This window comes from Homo sapiens, chromosome 9, assembly GCF_000001405.40.
Source record: "Homo sapiens chromosome 9, GRCh38.p14 Primary Assembly".
In the NCBI taxonomy this organism is placed as follows: Eukaryota; Metazoa; Chordata; class Mammalia; order Primates; family Hominidae; genus Homo; species Homo sapiens.
The window spans coordinates 130,661,633-130,683,233 of record NC_000009.12 but is presented as its reverse complement, the minus strand read 5'-3'; the positions used below and the strand labels follow the sequence as shown (position 1 = coordinate 130,683,233).

Sequence of the window (21,601 nt, the reverse complement as noted above, 5' to 3'; positions counted from 1 at the left end):
ACAAAATAAGGCACTGATGTTTGAGCCAGCTGGAAACCGGGAGAAATCTGCCTGGCCCCTTTCAAGATTTCCGGTTGCTTTGCACTGTGGCCCATCTCACTGAGCTCTGACATCCCAGTTGTGACAGAGAGAATTTTCCTGTACACACCAGTAAGTGGAACAACGCTTACCCGCCCCTTTCCAGCTTCTAGACACTTTCTATATTTCCTTCCTACAGATAAAAGTGTCCACCCATTCAGATGCTAAATGATAAATGTTCCAAGTAATTTTTATTTTAGAATACAAGAGAGGTACAAATGTATTTACAGTTGTACATATACAATCAAATAATAATATATTACAGTTTTGTAAATATCATTTTAGATAAATATTTACAAGGTTAAAGTGACCATCTTCTGGAAGTAGAACGCAGTTTCTTGAAAACTCTATACATTTTATACTTTTCATTAATATTATAGTTTATTTTACAAAACGCCCTACGGGAATCCTGGTAAATGACTGCAAAGTGTGAGAGGCGACACCAGAGGGCGCGCACGGCCCGAATTTGAGGAAACGGGCAGGGACCGAGGGAAGTGTGGGCAGACTGGGCGGAATTCCCGGGACTGGGCACAGCTCGGAAGCGCTTCGTGGCCACAGAAGCCACCTTAACCTCTCGGGCAGCGGTTCCAGTCTTGCCCTCCTCTCGCTGGAGTGTGTGTGTTGGAAGGGGCTGGGGGTATATTTCGCCTTCCCAGGCACGATGTCACAGCTGAAGGGGAGGGGGCATTGGTCCAACTCCTTCATTTTACAGATGGGGAAACTGAGGCCCAAAGAGGTGCAGGGTCTTGCTCGGGGTCCCACAGAGGATTTCCATTGTGCCTCCACTCTCAACGTGCCTGGTGCACTGCAAAGAGCTCCTTCCTCATCCGTCCCCAGGAGCCAGGTTTGGGGGTAAGCTGGCCTAAAGGAGAGAAGGGCCCAGAAGATGCATCTCTCCGGGTCTCTTCCCGCTGCCGATGGACCCCAGTAGCCCGCACATGTCAAGGTTGCGTAAGGACTCCCGACACTTCAGGACACCAGTCCCAGGGGCCGGAAGAGGAGATGGCGCCCCCACAACCCCCGCGCCCGACCACACCCGGACAAGGAGGTCGCCCTCCCTTCATTCCGAAGCACAGGACTCTCGGTGGCGGAGGAGGGGACTCCCCTTCCTCTGCTGAGGGGCCCTCGGGGGCTCTAAGTCCGCTCTCCTGCCACCCACGAGGGGGATGCCGGCCTGGGCGCCCGGCTCTACAGCAGCAGGGAGACTCGGGGGCGAGGCCAGGCAGGGGGACCCCCTCCCAGAGGAGGCGGCCGAACAGCCGCACCAGCTGCGTGGCCTGGGTGAGGGACGCCGCCCTCAGTGTCCTCATCTGCGACACGGGCCAAGGCGGGGGTGCCTGAGATCCGCCTCCGGGGCGCAACCCCAGCGCGCGGGGCTCCGCGGCGGCGCCGGGCCGGGGGTTGGGGCTGGAGGGCGAGTCGCGCTGCGGGGCCGGGGTGCCGGGGACCCAGGAGCGCGCGGGGCCCGGCGGGGGCGCGGGCGCGCTCACAGCACCATGGCCGGCAGGTGGTGCGCGGCGGCGGCGGCGGCGGCGGCGGCGGCGGCGGCGAGCGCGGGCGCGTGCGCGTGCGGGGCGGGCAGCGCGGGCGAGTGTGCCTGCAGCGCGGTGCTGGGCGGCCGGTGCCGCGCGCTCTTCTGGTGGGCGCGCAGGCCGGCCAGCTGCGAGTAGGCGCTCTGGCACACCTGGCACTTGTAGGGGCGCTCGCCCGTGTGCAGGCGCACGTGGTTGCGCAGCGTGGACGACTGGCTGAAGCGGCGGTTGCAGAAGCGGCACACGAAGGGCTTGTCCAGCGTGTGGATGCGCATGTGCGAGCGCAGGTTGCTGCGCGAGTTGAAGCCGCGGTGGCAGATGACGCATCGCATGCGGCCCGCGGGGCCAGCCGCCGAGTCCGCCGGGTGGAAGTCCTCTGGCCGCGGGGCGGGGCGGGGCGGGGGAAGGGAGACGGAGAAGGGGAGAGAGCAGCCCCGTTAGAACCGGCGCCCCGCAGCCCGGGCCCTCAGCGCCCCCAGCCCGGGGCCGGTCCGTCCTTGAGGGTGGGTGCTGCTTGGACGGTGGCAGACGGACTGGAGGGACAGCGAAGGGTACCCCGGCTGGGGGGTCCAATAGGGAGTTGGACTCCCGATCGCGATGCGAGACCTCGGGGACTTAGCGACTCAGCCTAGCTAAACCTCAGCTTTCTCATCTGTAAAATGGAAAGCTAGCACTGCCTTTTCGGGCGTACGATTGCCCGAGAGGATGAGAAAAGACGTCTATGAAAGGTCTCTGCGCTAAGCACCCGACCTGCCTTAGCCAGTGCCTGAGAGGTGCCTGGATTGGAGCAGCCTTCTGTAAAGGGGAGCAACTGTGATGACCCCTGCCCCCAAACCTTTCATTAACTCATCCCACAAACATTTACTGAATGCCTACTCTGTACCATGGAACTGCGCCTCGGTTTTCTCCTTCCTGAAATGGAGATAATACTAACATGGTAAGGATCAGTTAAAAAAAAAAAAAATATATATATATATATATATATATATTTTTTTTTTTTAGACGGAGTCTCCCTCTGTCTCCAGGCTGGAGTGCAGTGGCGCGATCTCGGCTCACTGCAGCCTTCGCCTCCTGGGTTCAAGTGGTTCTCCTGCCTCAGCTTCCCTGGGAATACAGGTGTGCACCACCACGCCCAGCTAATTTTTCTATTTTTAGTACAGACGGGGTTTCACCATGTTGGCCAGGATGGTCTCGATCTCTTGACCTCGAGATCCACCCACCTCGGCCTCCCAAAGTGCTGGGATTACAGCCACAGCGCCCGGCCAAAAAGATTTTATTTATTTTTTTGAAACAGGGTCTGGCTCTGTCACACAGGCTGGAGTGCAGTGGTGCCATCTCAGCTCACTGTAGCCTCGACCTCCCGGGTTCAAGCGATCCTCCCACCTCAGCCTCCCAGGCAGCTAGGACCACAGGCTCGTGCCAGCACACCTGGCTAACTTTTAAATTTTTTGTAGAGATGGGGTCTTGCCATGTTGACCAGGCTGGTCTGGAACTCCTGGGCTCGAGTGATCCTCCTGTCTCTGCTTCCCAAAGTACTGGGATTATAGGCATAAGCCACCATGCCCGGCCTAGAGAAATTAATGTTTGTAAAACATCAGCTGCAGAGCAAGGACTTAATAAACAGTAGCTCACCAGCTCAGGTTCATCCTCCAAAAATAAGGACCGCTGACCACGGTGCCTCATGCCTGTAATCCCAGCACTTTGGGAGGCAGAGGCAGGAGGATCATTTGAGCCCAGGAGTTCCAGACCAGCTGGGCAACATGGCGAGACCCCATCTCTACAATAAATTTAAAAAATTAGCCAGGTGTGGTGGTGCACGACTGTGGTCCCAGCTACCTGGGAGGCTGAGATGGGAGGATAGCTTGAGCCCAGGTGGTTGAGGCTGTAGTGAACCAAGATAGTGCCACTGCACTCCAGCCTGGGTGACAGAGAGAGACTCTGTCTCAAAAATAAGTTAAATAAAATAAAAATATGGATAACCAAATTTCACAGGCCAGGTGCCGTGGCTTACGCCTGTAATCTCAGCACTTTGGGAGGCCAAAGTGGGCAGATCGCTTGAGGTCAGGAGTTTGAGACTAGCTTGGCCAACATAACAAAACCCCATCTCTACTACAAATGCAAAGATTAGCTGGGCATGGTGGCACACGCCTGTAATCCCAACTACTCGGGAGGCTGAGGCAGAAGAATTGCTTGAACCTGGGAGGCAGAGGTTGCAATGAGCCAAGATCACGCCACTGCGTTCCAGCCTGGGTGACAGAGTGAAACTCAGTCTCAAAAAAAAAAAAAAAAAAAAGGAAGAAAGAAAGAAAAAGAAAAAAAATACACAGAGGTTTTATGAATACCCAGTGGGATGATATCTGCCAAAGGTTTAGCCCAATTCTTGGCAAGAAATAGTTGTCGAGCAAATGGTCTCTGCTGTGATGGGCAGTGTCCCCCTGACACACACACAGGCACAGTCTGTCCTGCCTTCCTTCAACAGGCTTATACGGAGCATCTACTCTGTGCCAGGCCCTGCACCAGACATCATCGACAGGGCAAGGAAATATACAGGTTGTCAGAACCAGAAGGGAACTTAGAGATTATCTTGCCTAGGACCTTCCCTTTACAGGTGAGGAAACTGAGGCACAGGACATTTCCAAGATTGTACAGCAGAACTAGAACTCAATCCAGGCTCCTGCTGCCCAGCTCCTTTCTTCTCCTGTCACACCTCATTGCCTCTCTGGTCTCCCCCACATACCCCCCAGACAGTCTATTCTGGCCAGGAAGCAGGAGGACCATCTCCCACCCATGCCCGGCCCATGCGGCAGCTCCAGGGGCATCAGCCTCCTTGGACCTGTATGTCTGATCTGCTCAATGCTGCCAGACATTGAACCAAGGTCCCTGGAGGCCAAGAGCCTCTCTGCCTCTCTCATTCTCTCTCTCCCCTCCCTGGGCTCCCCTCTCCATGGGTCTGTGTCTCAGCGGCCCCATGGGGAACACCTACCATGCTTGTTCTTTTTCTGGTCCTCCTCTAGCCCGGGCACACCTGGGATCCCCAGGAAGGTGTTGTGTGAGTTTCCGTACCACACCAGCAGTTCCTGGTCAGGTGGGATCATCTGCAGGGAAGAAGGCAAGAGGAGGTCAGGGAGGCCGCAGCTGGGAGGTGAGAGTTGGGGGTCTCTGAGCACCCCTCCACAGCCAGGAGACCCGGACCCAGTCTCAGCCCTGAGAAAGCCACACAGTCCCATTTCCACTGAGCTGTCCCGGGAAGCTGCACAAACACGGAAGTCCCTGGGGTGTCGAGCCCCTCTGCCCCCCTCTCCCTGCCCAGGCCATCTCTGTCCAAGCTCCAGCCACAGGAGTGCTTCCAAGCTGACAGCACCAGAGTGGACGCCTCACAGCAAGCAGAAGTAATGGGAGATGGAAAACTAGAAACCTTTTCCATTCTTACCCCGGGGAACTAGAGTCAGCCAGCCCCCAGGGCTGCAGGGCTGAGCCAGATGTTTCCAAGAAGGGTGGGCTGTGGGGCACCCCAGGGTACTTGGCTATACCCTGAGGCGATAATGTTCCGGAAACATCTCTTATCCAAAGCTCCCATAGGCATCCCACATCACAGGTACTTCCCGACCAAGCACAGGGCTCTGAGTGTCTCTGTGCACACGGCAGATGCTAAAAAAGAAGCATTCGGATGGATGAACACCTCCACCCCAGGAAACATTGGGGTACACTGCCTTACACAGAGTCCAGTTCACCGCGTCCTAGGTCAATGACAGAGAACCCCGCAAATGATGTTGGGGCTCTGATGCTCTCGGGGAGGACCTGCCCCAGGCTCATGGCAAAGGATGTTGGTCAGAGGGTTTTGCAGTGATGATCCAGGGAGGCGTAAGGGGCCTGCTTCTGGGGTGGCACTGATCATAAATGCCACACACTCCGGGACATCCCAAGGGGCCTGCCTGCCAGGCCTCTTATGGAAGCCAGTTACCCCTCCCAAGTGGGGAAGCTCCAGGCCCTAGCCAGGCAGGGCGTATGAGAGAAGGGACATCCTATCACTCTCCCAAGGCCTGGACTCCAGAAGTGCTGGCCTTGGCACCTTCCCCTGGGGGCCACTATCCGATGTGCCCAGAGAAACCCAGACACCCCCAGGCAACAGCTGGTTTGTTTTCCTGGCAGGTCCTTTTTTAGTTGAAGCACAAAAGATCGCATGGGATTCCATCTAGAGGTGTCTGAAACCAGGCCAGGACCCCGCGTTGGCTTCTGTGGTCAGAGACAGGGCCCCCTCTGTGTCTGCTTGGTTCAGCCTGCAGAGCCCACACTCAGAACTCTGGCGTTCACTACGTCTTCCTTCCTCTGGTCAGAGCCTGGAAGACCCTCAGACCATTGCAGCAAGCTCTGCTCACCCCTGAAAAGAAGGGAAAGTGGAGGTCGGGCGTGGTGGCTCATGCCTGTAATCCTAGCACTTTGGGAGGCTGAGGCGGGTGGATTACTTGAGGCCAGGAGTTTGAGACTAGCCTGGGCAACATAGCAAAACCCTGTCTCTACAAAAAAATAGAAAAATTAGCCAGGCGCGGTGGCGCATGCCTGTAGTCCCAGCTACTTGGGAGGCTGAGGCAGAACTGCTTGAACCCAGGAGGCAGAGGTTGCAGTAAGCCGAGATTGCACCACTACACTCCAGCCTGGGTGACCACTCCAGTCTGGGTGACAGAGCAAGACCCTGTCTCAAGGAAAAAAAAAAGAAGAAGAAGGGGAGGTCGAAAGAAAAGGGGTGGGAACAGGAGAGTGTGAGGGGGCTTAGGTGACAGCCATCCTCCTGAGACTCAGCCTAGAGTCACCACATCCATTTCCACATGCCCCCATGGTTCACGGGGCATCATGGCGAGCCTTAGGGTTAGTAAATGACGAGAAGCCAATGTGGAAACATGAATCGCAGTCCCAGAAGCCACAGGAAGTTAGACGGTGCCTCCAAGAAAGTGGACAGATTAGAATGTGGCACCACAGCGAGATCCCTGGTGACCTCTCTGCTCATTCACAGTAATGGCCACTGTCCAGGAGGCCAGCAGGTCAGAGCTGGAGGCCCCTGCTGGAAAGGGGCAGAGAAGAAAGAGGTTCTGATTTGCGTGGTTTTTTTTGTTTTTCTTTTTTGTTTTTTTTTGAGACGGAGTCTCGCGCTGTCGCCCAGGCTGGAGTGCAGTGGCGCGATCTTGGCTCACTGCAAGCTCCACCTCCTGGGTTCACGCCATTCTCCTGCCTCAGCCTCCTGAGTAGCTGGGACTACAGGTGCCCGCCACCACACCCACGCCCGGCTAATTTTTTGTATTTTTAGTAGAGACGGGGTTTCACCGTGTTAGCCAGGATGGTCTCGATCTCCTGATCTCGTGATCCGCCCGCCTCGGTCTCCCAAATTGCTGGGATTACAGGTGTGAGCCACCGCGCCCAGCTTTTTTTTTGTTTTTTACATTTTTAAAAATTCTACTTTTTTTCCAGACCTCACTGGGGTGGAAGGAAGAGGTTTTGTGAACCTCCCAGAAAAGCAGATAATGGAATTGAAATATTTAACATAAATTAATTGTGAAGGAAGTCTGTCTATGAGATGGTGCAGATGAGCCCTCTGTCACCAGGTCCATGTGTGACCTTAGGCAAGTCACTCTGCCTTTCTGTGTTCCTCAAATGAGGGGGTCAGGGAGGGAACACGGTCCCTGAGTTTCCCCCCAACTCTAAGACTCTGGTTGTAAGTCACCTCCAACATTGTCCTGACCCTTGGTTTCCAGTCTTGGATGAAACCGGACACGTTGATGTCATGGTTCTTCCAAAGCAATCAGCACCCTCCCCCAGACCACTGAACACACCCCACAGGGGGTTCCTGCTCAGTCTGGAGTCAGACATGTTGGGATCCACTAGGGCTCCCCATCTGCTGAGCAAGTCACCTCGGGCAAGTCGCCTCACGTCGTGGGGCCTGTTTCCTCACATTGCCATGGCCTCACTGAGTGGTGTTTGGGGTGCAGTGGAGCATATGCATAAAGCTCTTTGCATAATCGAGACATGGAAGCGCCAGTGATTGTTTTTCCTGGAGCTCGCCAACCTCTCAGAGAAGCTGGCAGCGGTTTCTGGCGCATCCAGGTCCCTGCAGGAGTGCTCACTGAGCCAGCAGAGCTGCAGAGGCCGCTGGTTCGGTGGAAGCCCAGGGTGACTGAGGTTCTGTCTTCAGTGTCCAGCAAGAGCACAGGCTGGGCCCGAATGCTCCGAGGACACCAGCCTCATGCAGGTACCCGCAATTCCCAGCCCCATCTCCCCCAGAAGGGAAACCAACTCCTCCAGCACAGATGTGGGATGAGATGGGAGGCTCAGCAAGCCCCCAGCTGAACTCCACCTCCAGGCTCCAGGCCTGGGGGTCATCAAATACTAAGCCAACACCGGCCTTTTAATTTTAATTGAAAACAACTATTATTAAATATAAATACAGTAACAGTAGGCTGGGTGCAGTGGCTCATGCCTGTAATCCCAGCACTTTGGGAGGCCGAGGCGGGCAGATCACTTGAGGTCAGGAGTTTGAGACCAGCCTGGCCAACATGGTGAAACCCCGTCTCTACCAAAAATACAAAAATTAGCCAGGCGTGGTGGTGGGCACCTGTAATCCCACCTGCTCAGGAGGCTGAGGCAGGAGAATCGCCTGAACTTGGGAGGCGGAGGTTGCAGTGAGCTGAGATCATGCCACTGCCCTACTGTCCGACCAACAAAGTGAAACTCCATCTCAAAAAATAAATAAAATAAGAACTCTGATGGTGACTATTGCAGTATAAGGGTGAGTCATTTATTTACTAAGAACGCTTTTAATGTACTAAAATTAATTTTACTAATGAATTTAAAAATTAAAACAGCGATGCAGACATATGGACCGCATTGTATAAACATATAACATGGTATGAAATGAGCAGTCACTCTCTGCCACTCTGGATGCCAGCCACTGTCGCTGGTTTGCTGCTTGTCTTTCCCCAGAAGCGTTTGCCATTTCGAGACTATTTTAAAATGCTGACTTACAGTTCATGGAGAGTAGCATGATGCCATCTACATCATGCCTCTGACTTTTTAAAAAATAATGAGCACATATTACTTCTATACACACACACACACACACACACACACACACACACACACACAAATTATCTTTTAAAAGCAAGAAAATCAGTTAAGAAGAGCCTACAGTTTGGGTGTGGTGGCTCTCACCTGTAATCCCAGCATTTTGAGAGGCCGAGGTGGGTAGATCACTTGAGGCCAGGGGTTCAAGACCAGCCTGGCCAACATGGTGAAACCCTGTTTCTACTAAAAATACAAAAATTGGGCCGGGCGCAGTGGCTCACGCCTGTAATCCCAGCACTTTGGGGGGCCGAGGTGGGCAGATAACGAGGTCAGGAGTTTGAGATCAGCCTAGCTAACATAGTGAAACCCTGTCTCTACTAAAAATACAAAAATTAGCTGGGTATGGTGGCATGTACCTGTAGTCCCAGCTATTTGGGAGGCTGAGGCAGGAGAATCTCTTGAACCTGGGAGGCAGAGGTTGCAGTAGGCTGAGATGGCGCCATTGCACTCCAGCCTGGGAGACAGAGCAAGACTCTGTCTCAAAAAAAAAAAAAAAAAAAAAAGAAAGAAAGAAAGAAAAGAAAAACAAAAAGAAAAAATAATAGCCAGGCTCGGTGGCTCAGGCCTGTAATCCCAGCACTTTGGGAGGCCAAGGTGGGCGAATCACCTGAGGTTGGGAGTTCGAGACCAGCCTGGCCAACATGGAGAAACCCTGTGTCTACTTAAAATACAAAATTAGCCGGGAGTGCTGGCGCATGCCTGTAATCCCAGCTACGCAGGAGGCTGAGGCAGGAGAATCGCTTGAATCCAGGAGGCAGAGGTTGCGGTGAGCCAAGATGGCATCATTGCACTCCAGCCTGGGCAACAAGAGTGAAACTCTGTCTCAAAAAAAAAAAAAAAAAAAAAAAAAATTAGCCGTGAGTGGTGGCACATGCCTGTACTCCCATCTATTCAGGTGGCTGAGGCACGAGAATTGTTTAATCACCTGAACCCAGGAGGTGGAGGTTGCAGTGAGCTGAGCACTCCAGCCTCAGAGACAGAGCAAGATTGTCTCCAAAAGAAAAAAAAAAGAGGCTGCTGGAATTGAGAATGACACATATTTCCAGACAGCTGTAAGCCAGCAGCCCCAACTGCCCAGAAGCTGGGAACTGGGAGTCTCTCTCAGCCCTTCTGTGCCCCGTGCCCAGGCTTCTGGTGTCTGCCTGCTCCCAGGCACCCGCCATCAACAAACTTCTACTATCAAGCCCGGGAAACCCAGGAACCTGCAGCTTCTTCCCTGGAACCCTGGGATCACTGTGCAGAGGCTCCCGGGGTCCCGCCAGCTGACCGCCTGGATGCAAAGAACAGCCACCGTGCCCTCTAGGCCCCCTCGGCAGCACTCTTTACTGCTGAGACTCAGGCCTGGCCTGGCTGGCTGGGACTCTCTGCTGGGGCTTGGAGAAGCAGGATCAGCTGGTCATTCACTTTTCTGGGGAGCAGGGATAGGCTCAGGACACAAAACAAACAAAGCAATTCCCAAAGGAACTGAGTCCTGTACCACAAAATCCACATCAGTAAAACTCTGGAATACCAGCGCCCGAGTCTCTTTTGACAAATGGACATGCCCTGTCAACGTGCTTCTCTGGGCCCTATCAGCCCAGAAGATCTGTCCTTCCCCACTTTCTGAATTTTTATTATAAATTGGAAATGACAGAATTTTTGGTTTGTTCTCCTGCTGTAAATTCACATCCTGCCACTGAACATGCTCCCAGGAGACTGCAAATACCCTCCCCTTCTCCACAGGGTCTGAAACCCCAGTGTAAAAGGATCTCAATGTCATCTGGACAAACATCAATTTCCATTGTACCACAGATGTCCCGACACACCAATTAATAGAGTTCCAGCAAATAGATATTGGCCAGGGAGGCCACATGGCATGGTGACTCAGCACTCCAGCTCAGGGCTCAGATGGGCCTAGGTTCCCATCGCAGCTCAGCAACTTCCCGTAATCTCCGTAACATTTCAGTTTCGCCGTCATAAAAATGAGGATAGTAACAGAGAGCAGCACCCCGAGGGCTGAGCAGATTCTATTTTTTAATAGTTGCTGGCCAGGTGCAGTGGCTCACGCCTGTAATCCCAGCACTTTGGGAGGCCGAGGCGGGCAGATCGCTTGAGGTCAGGAGTCTGAGACCAGCCTGGCCAACATGGGGAAATCTACTAAAAATACAAAAATTAGCCAGGCGTGGTGGCACACACCTGTAATCTCAGCTGCTTGGGAGGCAGGAGAATTGCTTGAATCTGGGAGGCAGGGGTTGCAGTGAGCCAAGATTGCACCATTGCACTCCAGCCTAGATGACAGAGTAAGACTCCATCTCAAAAAAAATAATAATAAAAAAGTTGCTAAGACCCTTTTATTCCTTCAACATTTAGTGGCCACTTACTATGTGCTAGGCACTTTCTAGAACTGTCATTTTAGGCACCTGAAGTTATAGTAAATTCTGTGACTGGAGTAAGCCAGGAGGTTCCCCAGGGGCCACATCAGTGGATCCAGCCAGATGCACGCCCTGCTGCGGAACCTCCACTGACCGCCTGGGCTCTAAAGCCCCGTTGCCTTCGTCTCTGTTGAGAAGGCTGCTATTCTGTATTTATGGAAAGTTTTAGAGCAGCAATAGTATATTCTGCTTATTGAATAAAGATGTTCCTTCCTATTTTTGGTAAGTAATGGGTTACCGTTATGAACTATGAGTGGCAGTTCTGAGTGGCAGAAAGTTTAAGAAAACATCACAGCAGAGGTCCTTCTCCTTGGCTAACTCACCCACACGCAGAGAATAAACAGCCAATTGATTCCCAAGTCATCCAGGGATTGGCCTGGGGAACAGCAGTATCTTCCAGTCTAGCCCAGAAGGGCTGCATGAGCTCTGGGCCTCGGCCTCATCTTGAGGGTGGCCACATACACCCAGACACACAATTTATCTGGTAAGTGGAATCTGACATTGTGACAAAATGGTTTGAGAAATCTGCCACCACAAAAAAATGTATCCACTTTAAAAGTAAAATGGGTGGCATTTTATTTCCTTGTCATTCACGCAGACAGCCCCTTCTTAGAAGGCTTGCTAACTCTGTAAAAGCACTGATAGCCAAATTGGTGGATCTGTCTATATCACATATGTGATACAGTGTGTGTGTGTGTGTGTGTGTGTGTGTGTGTGTGTGTGTGTGTCCTGATCCTCTTTTTTTGTTGTTGTTGTTGTTGAGACGGAGTCTCACTTTGTCACCCAGGCTGGAGTGCAATGCTGCTGATAGTTCACTACAACCTCCGCCTCCTGGGTTCAGGCAATTCTCCTGCCTCAGCCTCTGGAGTAGCTGGGATTACAGACACCCGCCACCATGACTGGCTAATTTTTGTATTTTTAGTAGAGACGGGGTTTCACCATGTTGGCCAGGCTGGTCTTGAACTCCTGACCTCAGGTGATTCATCCACTTCATCCTCTGAAAATGCTGGGATTACAGGCGTGAGCCACCATGCCCTGCCTGATCCTCTTTTTTCAACTTAAATTCATGATCAAATGTAGATGACCATTTTTCCTAATCCTATAAACTCAAATGCTTCCCTGAAGATATTCTTCAGCCTCCTTGCCTTCGGACTGAATTTCTAAGTGTCTATTCATGTTTCCTGACTTTGTTTGGCTTCTAGCCAGTGTGACCTGCACAGCGAGATGAGACTCAGGCCCCCACATCTGCCTCAGCCTGGAGCCCTCTTGCCAAAATGATGTAGGCGTTTCTGGTCTGTCTCTTGTGTTCACATGTGTGGGTATGTGTGTGCGTGTGGGGTTGGTGAGGGGATGGGTTGGAGCCCTCCATCACATCTGTATCAGGATGGCTGGGAAAGAGCGTATGAAGGCGAAGATGTGTGTGACAGAGGGTGGTGGGGTGAGGATCTGGGAGGGTGCATTCTGTTATATGTGGGGTTCAGCTACACTGGAAGCCAATTTTAGGATGTGGTGGCCCAGCCAGATGGTCAAGGAGCCACCTCTGTCCTGGGCCTGGGCTACCTTCAGTGCTCTCTGCACCCTGCCCCACGGCCGTCTTACCTCACTTCAAACCCAATTCAGGAACCGCTCAGTTTTTTCTTATCCTCCACCTCCTGCTCCTCCAAGCACCACCCCCCTCAGCTGGGACCCAGGCTAGGCCCCCTGCTGTCACCTCTGGGAGAGTCTCTGGGGTGTTGTTATTCAGGGACAACCAAAGGAACCCATCCGAGAAGCTACTAGGCCCTGGCACCCCCAGGGGTCTTAGAAAGAGCTTCAAGGTCTGAGTCCTGGGGAGAAAATGGAACATGGACTAAAGGTCGGTCACTCTCTGCTCCTCCAGAACACCCAAAAATCTCCACCAAGCCCTAGCCCAACCCCAAGGGGAGCAGAGAAGTGGGGTGGGAAGCACCTGACTGCCTCTGCACAGCACTTGCTACCAGCCTACCCCCAGCAGCCTGTGGGTAGCTTCCCTCTACTCCTGGGCCAGATTTCCCGCCAAAGGACACTGTCCAGGGAGGGTCCCAGTGTGGGCCTGCCCTGGCAACCACGTCTCTGCTTGGTTTGCACCCTCAGCCACTGGCCAGATACCTGGATCTTTTCTGCCACCAGGCACTGCCCTACCAGGAAGCCCTCCTCTTCCCACCCTCCTCTTCCCACCCTCCTCTGAACCTTCCTGGCTCAGCCTCACCCCTGCCACACCACAGGAAGTGATATTTACCGGTTACCTTTTTTTTTTTTTTTTTTTTTTGAGATGGAGTCTCACTCTGTCACCCAGGCTGGAGTACAGTGGTGCCATCTCGGCTCACTGCAAGCTCCGCCTCCCGGGTTCACGCCATTCTCCTGCCTCAGCCTCCCGAGTAGCTGGGACTACAGGCACCCGCAACCACACCCGGCTAATTTTTTGTATTTTTTAGTAGAGACGGGGTTTCACCATGTTAGCCAGGATGGTCTCGATCTCCTGGCCTCGTGATCTGCCCACCTCGGCCTCCCAAAATGCTGGGATTACAGGCTTGAGCCACTGTGCCAAGCCTTTTTTTTTTTGAGATGGAGTCTCACTGTGTCACCCAGGCTGGAGTGCAGTGACACTATCTCGGCTCACTGCAACCTCTGCCTCCCTGGTTCAAGCAATTCTCATGCCTCAGCCTCCTGAGTAGCTGAGATTACAGGCGTCTGCCACCACGCCCCACTAATTTTTGTATTTGTATTTTTATTTTTATTTATTTATTTATTTATTTTTGAGATGCAGTCTCGCTCTGTCGCCCAGGCTGGAGTGCAGTGGCGTGATCTCGGCTCACTGCAAGCTCCGCCTTCCGGGTTCACGCCATTCTCCTGCCTCAGCTTCCCGAGTAGCTGGGACTACAGGCGCCTGCCACCATGCCCGGCTAATTTTTTGTATTTTTAGTAGAGACGGGGTTTCACCATGTTAGCCAGGATGGTCTCGATCTCCTGACCTTGTGATCTGCCCGCCTCGGCAATTCACTCACCTCAGCCTCCCAAAGTGCTGGGATTACAGGCATAAGCCACCGTGTTCAGGCTGTTACCTGGCCCTGTCTGTCTCCTCTGAGAAGGCTCAGGAAGCGCAGCTATTAGTGCTAACACTCCCCCCAGATGGCCGGCAAAACCCCCAAGTCTGCTGCCACCGAGGGAGACCTGGTTTTCTGGTCAGTAAACTGTAAATAATCACAGAATCCTCCTCCTGGGGCCCCGTGGGGATTAAATACCATACTGCATATCCAGCATCTGGGAGAAGCCTGACACACGGGGAGCCATCGCTGAGTCTGGAGTCATGAGCCGTAAGCCACTGGTGCCCATGCATGCAGAATGAGGGCCATCAGACAGCTAAACGGCTGCAGACACACGCCCTCTCTCCCACCCCAACGCATTCCCTGGGCCGCCTCTCCCCATCTTGCTTCTCTGTGTCTCTGTGACCCCTGAACCTCAGGAAACTGTCAGCCAACATCTGGGGACCTCACTATGGAGATGCTCGTGACATTCCCAATGCCGTCAAGTTGAGAGCTCCATCATTTCTGATCTGCAGCAGAAAGCTTCCCATGGAGGTCACACACCTGGACAGCGGGATGTCTGGAGACCCACCTGTCTGCCACAGCCCCATGGCCTGCGCAGAGCCAGCGAGGCCAGTGTCAGCTCCCCTCTGTCCACTGTGGTTCCTGGACACCGCTGCCCTGCACACCTCCCCCCGCCGGGTTTACCGGCTGGTCCCTACACAACAGTGCACACACACACACACACCTCAATGGCCTTGTAGAAGATGCTGGTGCCGATCTGGACCACCTCCAGGTTCTGCTCCTGTTCGTTACGTGCACACTTGATGTAGGTCATCCAGCTCCGGTGGTCCTCCTGGCTGGCATCGATGAAGTAGCGCACCGTGCCATCCTCATTGAACACCTGGGCACAGATGGATCAAGGACCAGGTAAGGCAGGGCTATGCCATGTGTACCATCTTCCAGGCACATCCACACACACACTCTCCATCCTCACAACAGCCCCAGGAAGTGGATAAAGCTTCATTTTCCCACTGAAGAAAGGAAGGCTGGAGAGGTGCAGGGACTTGCCTGAAGCTAGCCGGCTGGAAGTGGCCCACAGGGGATCAGTCTCCAGGGCTCTATGGGCTGACCATGATACACGCTCCTGTTGCCGTGTCCTCCCTACCCCCAGAAGAAGAGGGTCTCCAAGGGATCACTGCCCAGACAAAGTGGCCCTGAGCTCTCTCAAGGGATGCAGAGGTGCTCCCCATGGCACTGGGAACATCAGCCAGGCCTCAGAGAGGGAGGATCCTGGAGTCCAGGGAGGGAGGGCTGGGTCACTGTGGCACTCCAGCTTGGCCTAAACCCCTTCACGGGAGCTGCCAAGGCCACTCAGAGGTCAAACTGGACCCCAACTTCCTGACCCAGCAACTGGAGAAGGTGGTTAGTGGTCCAGCCCTCCAGAGGAGGGAGATGAGGTCAAGAGAGGCCTCTGGGCCATCCCGCAGTTCTATCAAGTTGGGCTTCTCCAGGGTCCGCCGGGGGGAGCTGGAGTGGGGGAGCGGGCGAGGGAATGAGTTTAGGAAGGGTGTGCACCAGTCTGGCCTCAGTGGGTTTCCCGTTCTGCAAAGTTAGGAAGAAGCACAGGGGTGGCCCTCCCTGGCACTGGCACTGTGATGGGTGGAAAGGCCTAGGATGGAAGCCTCTTGGAGCCTCCGTGAAAAGGGAACAGTAAGGCATGGGCTACTGAGGTCATCCGTGACTGCAGGCTGGGGACACAGAAGCTGACTCAATGCCACCTCAGCCACAGTCATCGTGAATGTCATTCTGCTTTCACCAGGCATTCTCCTTTCCAGCCCCACCTCACCCCCAGCCCAGGACTGGCCTTGAGGGGCTTCCCAGGCTGCTTCCGGGGCCAGGGAAAGAATGTAAGTGGCTGGGAAGAGGCCTGGAGGGATGGCGCGTGGGGACCCTGGGCAAGCGACCTGACTGCTCTGGGTCTCAGTGCCCTCATCTGCCAAGTGGAGCCAACCACAGTCTTGCTCTGCCAGGGTGTCCGGGGGAAGGAGGGTCGGATTTTCGGCACGGGTTGGGAGGAGCCTAGAGGCGGGGTGAGCTCCAGGCTCGGGCGGCTTAGAGTCCCGGCTCAGGGGGCGTCCAGGCCAGGAGTGTCCGCCGCTCTCAGCCCGGGTGGAAGCGGCGACGGCCGGACGCCCGAGTCCTACCCGCGACCAGCGCCCCTCGCCGGCCCTTGCGCCCCTCTGCCCCAGCCCGCGCGTACCTCCCACATGAGGTTGTTGTTCTTGCAGATGTCCACGTGCTCCGGGGCGATCACGCGGCCGGTGAAGGGGCCCATCTCGGTTCCCGCCTTGATCCACGTCTTGGAGAAGATGCCGAGGCCCTCGCCAGGGATGGAGCTCTGAGCGATGATCACCTCCGCAGGCAGCACCAGGCTGGACAGCTTCTGCACTTCTGCGGCGGCGGGGCCAGGAAAACCGGTCAGAGCCCGAGGCAGCCGAGGCCCGGCCCTTCCTTCCCCGCCGGGACCCCGGCTTCGGTCCTGCCCAGACCAGCCAAACCCAAGTCGGCCCCAAATCCAGAGAAGCCACCCGGGTGTGGAGGAAGTCGGATGTGCGGAGGCTCAACGACCTCTCCTCTGTTTGCAACCTGGAGACCCTCCGTGCCCTGGAAAGCGAGTGGTGCGTTGGGGATCATTTTTAGAAGTGGGTTTTTAGTCTCTCCGCGAATTCTCAAAGCATTCGCAACTTCTTCCATCCTCTGCCCCGGATAAGTTTAAGAATTAATGAGCCAACGGCAGCGAGCGGTTTTATGCACAGGGAAACTGAGGCCAGGTCCTGCAAGGAGGTGAAGGCCAACCGGAGACTCTTTCGCCTAGTCGGCTTCCGGGAGCCCACTGTGTGTCCAGGCTCTGGGCACTGGCAGAGGAGCCGGGCCGTGATCAGCGCTGGGGACAGACCTCGGGCTGGCAGGTGTTGGAGGTGCCAAAGAAGCACCGGCAGCAGCTGGCCAGGCTCTGCGCTCGCTGTGTGACCCCGGGCGCGCCCGAGTCCCTCTCTGCTCCCAGGCCCTGGGGTGCCAGGGAGGGCGGCGCCCGGGCTCAGACAAACCCCGATGTCATCTCTCTGGGCGGGGAGGAGCCGCGGCGGCCCCCAGCTCCCCGAGGGTTCCCCTGTCGGGCATCTGCGGCAGGGCTGGAAGCGGCGAGGCGCACAAGGGCGGCCTCCATGTCTTACAAGGTTCCCCTCTAAGCTACCTGGGAAAATACCCGGCGAGCGGGCCGGCTGAAAGGGGGGGGTTAAACGGTGTCCATTGCGGCGCGGCGGGCAATTTGTCACGCTGTTAAAGTGATCGCATTCATTCGGCTCCATTCGAAAGAAATTGCTAATTCTAAATTCATTAGCCCTGGAAGAATGCTGTAGCAGTAAATTGTAGCTCAATGCGGAGGGGACTTGTTTAAAAGGGGCCGAGGAATTCCCCTTACAAAAAAGGGGGATTAGATGGTTGACATAGCGTGAATGGAAGTGGAATTAGTCTTCACGGTAAATTAAGAGAGGAACAGAAATCGTAAAGGGGGAAAAGAGGGCGACGCGCAGAGATGCCAGAGCCAGGGAAAGATATTGTTTGCGGGTTGATGAATGAGGAATAAGAACTTGAGACATCTTAAAGAAAAGAAACTTTTCTCGCTCTCTCTTTCTCTCCCTCGCTCTCCCCGCGGCTTTTTCTCCCCGCCCGCCCTCCCTCCACCCCCTCCCCAGCCCCGGCTGCCTTTTAAAGTTCTTGGTTTAAGTGGGAACTTTCGTGGGTCAAGCCCAAGTTAACTAAATGAATTTAAAACCCCTTCTTTTTGAGTCAACTGCTATTACACGCCTAGTAAGGCTGTAAATGCCGGGAACCCGCCAGCTCAAGCGCAGGAGGGGAAGGGAGGGGCCGGCGGGGGCGTCGGGGCCGAGCGACGGGGTCGCCGGGGTCGGTCCTTGAGCCGGGTGGGCTGCGGAGCTGCTTGGTGGCTCGCGTCCTGGTTTGGCCCATGGGGAAACTGAGGTGCACCGAGCGCCGGGAGAGCCCAGGTTGGCGCGAGTAGCAGCGAGGCCGGGTATCCCAGCCGCGTCTCGCGCATCGCCAGGACGGGAATGGGGGTCGCCGGGAGGAGGGATTGCGCCGGGCTCCGACGGCTGGACTCACCGCCGGAGAAGGACTGCGCCAGCACCTCGGCGGTGAAGGCTGTCTTGGGGCTGGCGTGGTGGCTCTTGTCCTCGAAGAGCTGCTCCCCGAGCACGTTGCGCCAGCGGCCGTACAGGAAGCTGTGCAGGATGTCGGAGGTGATAACCTCGGCCAGCGCCAGTCCCGGCGCCTTCAGCCCGGTCTTGAGCACCAGGGCCTCAGCCGGGAGCACGGAGCCCATCATGGGCGGCCCGGAGCTCCCCGGCGCCGGGGGACGGCCGGGCCGACGGGGGAGGTGGGCGGGCGAGAGGGGAGCCCAAGGGGCGAGAGGAGAGCGCTGCGATGGAGAAGGAACCAGAGCAGGGGGAGGACGGAGAGGAGGAGGACGCAGGAGGGAGCGGGAGGTGAGGGGGCGACTGGGAGGAAAGCGAACGAGGGGGAGAGGGGAAGAGAGATGGTGAAATCTGTAGAGATGGCAAAGGCGGCGCGGAGGGTGGAGAGACGCGGGTGGAGGCGGAGGCGGGTGCGGGGGGTGCAGGGTGGGTGAGAGGCGGGTGGTTGCAGGGAAGCGGCAGCAAGGGGCTCAGGCGCGCGCTAGCCTCTCGCACACTCGGCCGGGGCCGTCTTCCCCTTGGCAAAATCTCAGCGCCTTTATAGGAGCCGCAGTGACCCTCCTAATTGGTTATTAATGACCCCCTGACGTCGGAGGACAGACTTGTTGTACCCGGCTGGGCTCGAGGAGCCTTCGTCGCGAGAGCGCGAGGGGCGGGGGCGCGCGGACCGCTCCAAACAGTACCCCTCCACTCCTCTCTCCCCTTCCTGGTCCTTCCTCCCCCCTCCTGTTTTTCCTTCTCTCCCCGTGGGAAGCGCAGGGCAGGGAGGGAGGCTCAGCCGGCTCTGAGGAGAGGAGGGGACGGAGAAGGGGAGGGGGTGCGGCGAGGCTCTCTAGGACTCCAGGGACCAGGCTAGACAAGAGGGGACGCCTGGCTTCGGGCCCCGCGCTCCCCTCAGGCCTGATCTATGTTCACCGGCCTGGCCCAGCCCGGCGTTCACCTTTACTTTGCTGCCCCGGCTGGCCGGCCCAGCCCTGCACCGCTCTCCCTCCCCGGCCAGAGCCCGCGTCCTCTTCCCTCTCCGGCCCTGCACTCCCCGGGCCGCCACAGTCGCCCCGAGCTCGCGCGCAGCCCTAGTTGCCACGCGGATCCCCTGCTCAGACTGCGCTGCTGAAGCCGGCGCTTCGCTTCATACGGGCCGCGCCAACTCGGTCGCTGTGCACGGTCGGGTGCGAAACTCCTCCGCGGGCTCACGGGGCTGCCGAGGCGGGGCCGCAGCGGCCGTCGGGGCTGGGGCTGGTCCCGGCCTGAGACAGCTTCATGGAAGGCCAGGCTCCCGGCCCTTGCGGGGCCAGGTCGGGGGTCGAGATGGGCGGACAGGAATCGCCCTGGCAGCCTGTCTCTGGGAAAAGAATTTCCTACGGGATATAGGGGGATTGAAAGGGGTCCCGAGACCCTTCCTAGGTGGGAGCAGGCGTGCCTGAGAGCGAAGTCCCTCAGAAACTGCAGGCAGCTCCGCGAGAGGCCTCAGTGCGGGTTCGGCTTGCGGCCCGGCTTTCCGGCTCCTTGCTGAGCTGCAACCTCGGGAAGCCGGTGGCGTTGCGGCGCCCCTTCCTTCTTGCCTCCTAGTTCTTTCTTTCTCCTCTGCCTCTCTCTTCTTTCCCTTCCTCTCCTCTATTCCTCCTGCCCATCATCCCAGGAGCAGACTTGCTTTGCGGCGGTTTCGAGGCACCTCGGAGCCCAGCGATCCCCTCTCCCGAAGCAGGTAGCTGCTGAGCCCAGCGGAAGGCCCCGCTTCCTGCAGGCTTCGCGGCTCCCCAGTGTCAGCCTCAAGCCTCGGACCCCAGGCCCTGACATGCTGGGTGAGGGAGCTCACCCCACCTGCCGCACTTCTGGCTCCCATCACCAGCCTACAATTTCAGATGCCGCTAACAGAGGTGCCTGGACCCTCTCGGCGTGGGTCAGGCTCACGGATTAGTCTCCGCTGGACTGTGTGGACTCCCTAGACCTTCTCCTCAGCGCGGAGGACTTGGGTGGAAGAACAGCGAGCTGACCTCCCATGAGCGAGACCCTGTCCAAACGCCTGTTGGCATAGACGCCCCTCCACCACCCGGACGCGCCTTGGCTAAGAGGGTCTCACACCTGGCGTCCAGACTCCAGACCCCTGGTCCCCAGTTCCTGCCAGTAGTCTCCGGCATCCCCCGTCCCCGTTGGGACGCAAAGGGAGGAAGGCGGCGGTAGCTGGCCTTCAGACCCTGCGTCCGGGTCCGCCCGAGGCTGGAGCCCAAGGAAGGGCACACCTGGCAGAAGGCAGGACCGTTGGGCAGGGCGCCAGCAGAGGGCAGCGCTGCTGAGGAGGGAGGTGGGTTAGGGTCGCCGAACCCTCCACTCATTTTTCGACGCAGCTTGTGGGTCGCATCGGCTCCCTGGCCAGAGCTCGAGTCTGAGGGGGCGTATGGAGTCCGATGGCTCCTGCAGGGGAGCCTCACCGGGGCCTACTTCTTGGCTTCTGGGAAGACCTAGGTGGAGAGGACAAAGTGCTAGGAGCGAGGGAGACGACGTCGGGGAGCGCTGCCAGGAGCCAAGCGCTGCGGCAGCTCCCAAGCCCCGAAAGCGACCTCAGTTCCTCCAGGACACCAAAGGGGGATAAGGACTGCTGTGTGTCCTGTGGACTGCCCCTTTCCTCTCTGGGCCTCGGTGTCCCTGTCTGTGCAATGGTTTGAGTTGGACTTTGTGAACTGAGGTTTCTTTGCTTGGTCTCTCTTTGGGTAAGATCACTTTACCCCACGACAACCCCGAGGATTTTGCCCTCTCCAGGGCCACGTCCCACTGCGGGAAGCCCTCAGGTCTGTGCATCCTCCGTGCTGGGGTGCAGCGTTTGGGTCCTGAACCCCGGCTTAGAGTTAGAGGCTTGGATTCCGCTGGCGCAGTGACCACGGGCTCGGACTGCGGCCAGGGAGTCCCATTCCTCTCCTCCGGACCCGCAAGCCCGGAGAGCAGTACTGGGAGCCGGGCAGAAGCGGAGCGCAGAACGTCCTCCCAGCTGGTGCGCCCAAATCTCCACCGCGCTCACATTTTGTGCTTCTAGTCTAGCGGCAAAACCCACCTGGACCCCCGCCCGGGGAAAAAGGAGCCCGTAGGTAGCGCCCAGTCTCAAGGTGCATTGAAATAGGGAGCAAGACCCTGTGCTCACATCTCCCCGGGAGGAGATT

The 21,601-nt window shown here is 56.5% G+C and overlaps 1 protein-coding gene across 1 annotated transcript, besides 7 other annotated features; it reads right to left on the bottom strand.

Annotated features, from left to right (window-relative positions):
• On the bottom strand, window positions 251-18,640 carry PRDM12 (PR/SET domain 12). The gene is made up of 5 exons (NM_021619.3): window positions 18,358-18,640; window positions 16,436-16,626; window positions 14,921-15,076; window positions 4,594-4,705; window positions 251-1,986 (listed from the first exon to the last, which is right to left on the bottom strand). The coding sequence occupies exons 1-5, from the start codon at window positions 18,578-18,580 to the stop codon at window positions 1,565-1,567; spliced, it is 1,104 nt and encodes a 367-aa protein (NP_067632.2). The 5' UTR covers window positions 18,581-18,640; the 3' UTR covers window positions 251-1,564.
• Window positions 902-1,071: an enhancer, noted in NCBI's record as "active region_29155". NCBI's record gives its function as "activates an Ori minimal core promoter by ATAC-STARR-seq in GM12878 lymphoblastoid cells {active_cell/tissue: GM12878}" and the evidence as "EXISTENCE:reporter gene assay evidence [ECO:0000049][PMID:35858748]".
• Window positions 1,117-1,792: an enhancer, noted in NCBI's record as "H3K4me1 hESC enhancer chr9:133556829-133557504 (GRCh37/hg19 assembly coordinates)". NCBI's record gives its function as "activates a minimal SCP1, AML or CMV promoter by ChIP-STARR-seq in primed H9 embryonic stem cells {active_cell/tissue: H9 hESC(primed)}" and the evidence as "EXISTENCE:reporter gene assay evidence [ECO:0000049][PMID:30033119]".
• Window positions 1,222-1,461: a silencer, noted in NCBI's record as "silent region_20404". NCBI's record gives its function as "represses an Ori minimal core promoter by ATAC-STARR-seq in GM12878 lymphoblastoid cells {active_cell/tissue: GM12878}" and the evidence as "EXISTENCE:reporter gene assay evidence [ECO:0000049][PMID:35858748]".
• Window positions 1,942-2,041: a silencer, noted in NCBI's record as "silent region_20403". NCBI's record gives its function as "represses an Ori minimal core promoter by ATAC-STARR-seq in GM12878 lymphoblastoid cells {active_cell/tissue: GM12878}" and the evidence as "EXISTENCE:reporter gene assay evidence [ECO:0000049][PMID:35858748]".
• Window positions 15,440-16,639: an enhancer, noted in NCBI's record as "CDK7 strongly-dependent group 2 enhancer chr9:133541982-133543181 (GRCh37/hg19 assembly coordinates)". NCBI's record gives its function as "activates an origin of replication core promoter dependent on BRD2, BRD4, P300/CBP, MED14 and CDK7 cofactors, with strong dependence on CDK7, by STARR-seq in HCT116 cells {active_cell/tissue: HCT116}" and the evidence as "EXISTENCE:reporter gene assay evidence [ECO:0000049][PMID:35650434]".
• Window positions 17,393-18,066: an enhancer, noted in NCBI's record as "VISTA enhancer hs876". NCBI's record gives its function as "enhancer in: neural tube[7/11] | hindbrain (rhombencephalon)[7/11] | midbrain (mesencephalon)[7/11] | forebrain[7/11]" and the evidence as "EXISTENCE:transgenic organism evidence [ECO:0001131][PMID:17130149]".
• Window positions 19,357-20,198: an enhancer, noted in NCBI's record as "H3K27ac-H3K4me1 hESC enhancer chr9:133538423-133539264 (GRCh37/hg19 assembly coordinates)". NCBI's record gives its function as "activates a minimal SCP1, AML or CMV promoter by ChIP-STARR-seq in naive H9 embryonic stem cells {active_cell/tissue: H9 hESC(naive)}" and the evidence as "EXISTENCE:reporter gene assay evidence [ECO:0000049][PMID:30033119]".

Bases quoted from the DNA above. Each gene is read 5' to 3' on its own strand.
- PRDM12 (NM_021619.3), bottom strand. From the start codon at position 18,580: ATGATGGGCTCCGTGCTCCCGGCTGAGGCCCTGGTGCTCAAGACCGGG. The intron at 16,627-18,357 runs GTGAGTCCAGCC...CCGCCGCCGCAG, and splicing joins GGCGCAGTCCTTCTCCGGCG to AAGTGCAGAAGCTGTCCAGC. The intron at 15,077-16,435 runs GTACGCGCGGGC...ATCTGTGCCCAG, and splicing joins ACAACAACCTCATGTGGGAG to GTGTTCAATGAGGATGGCAC.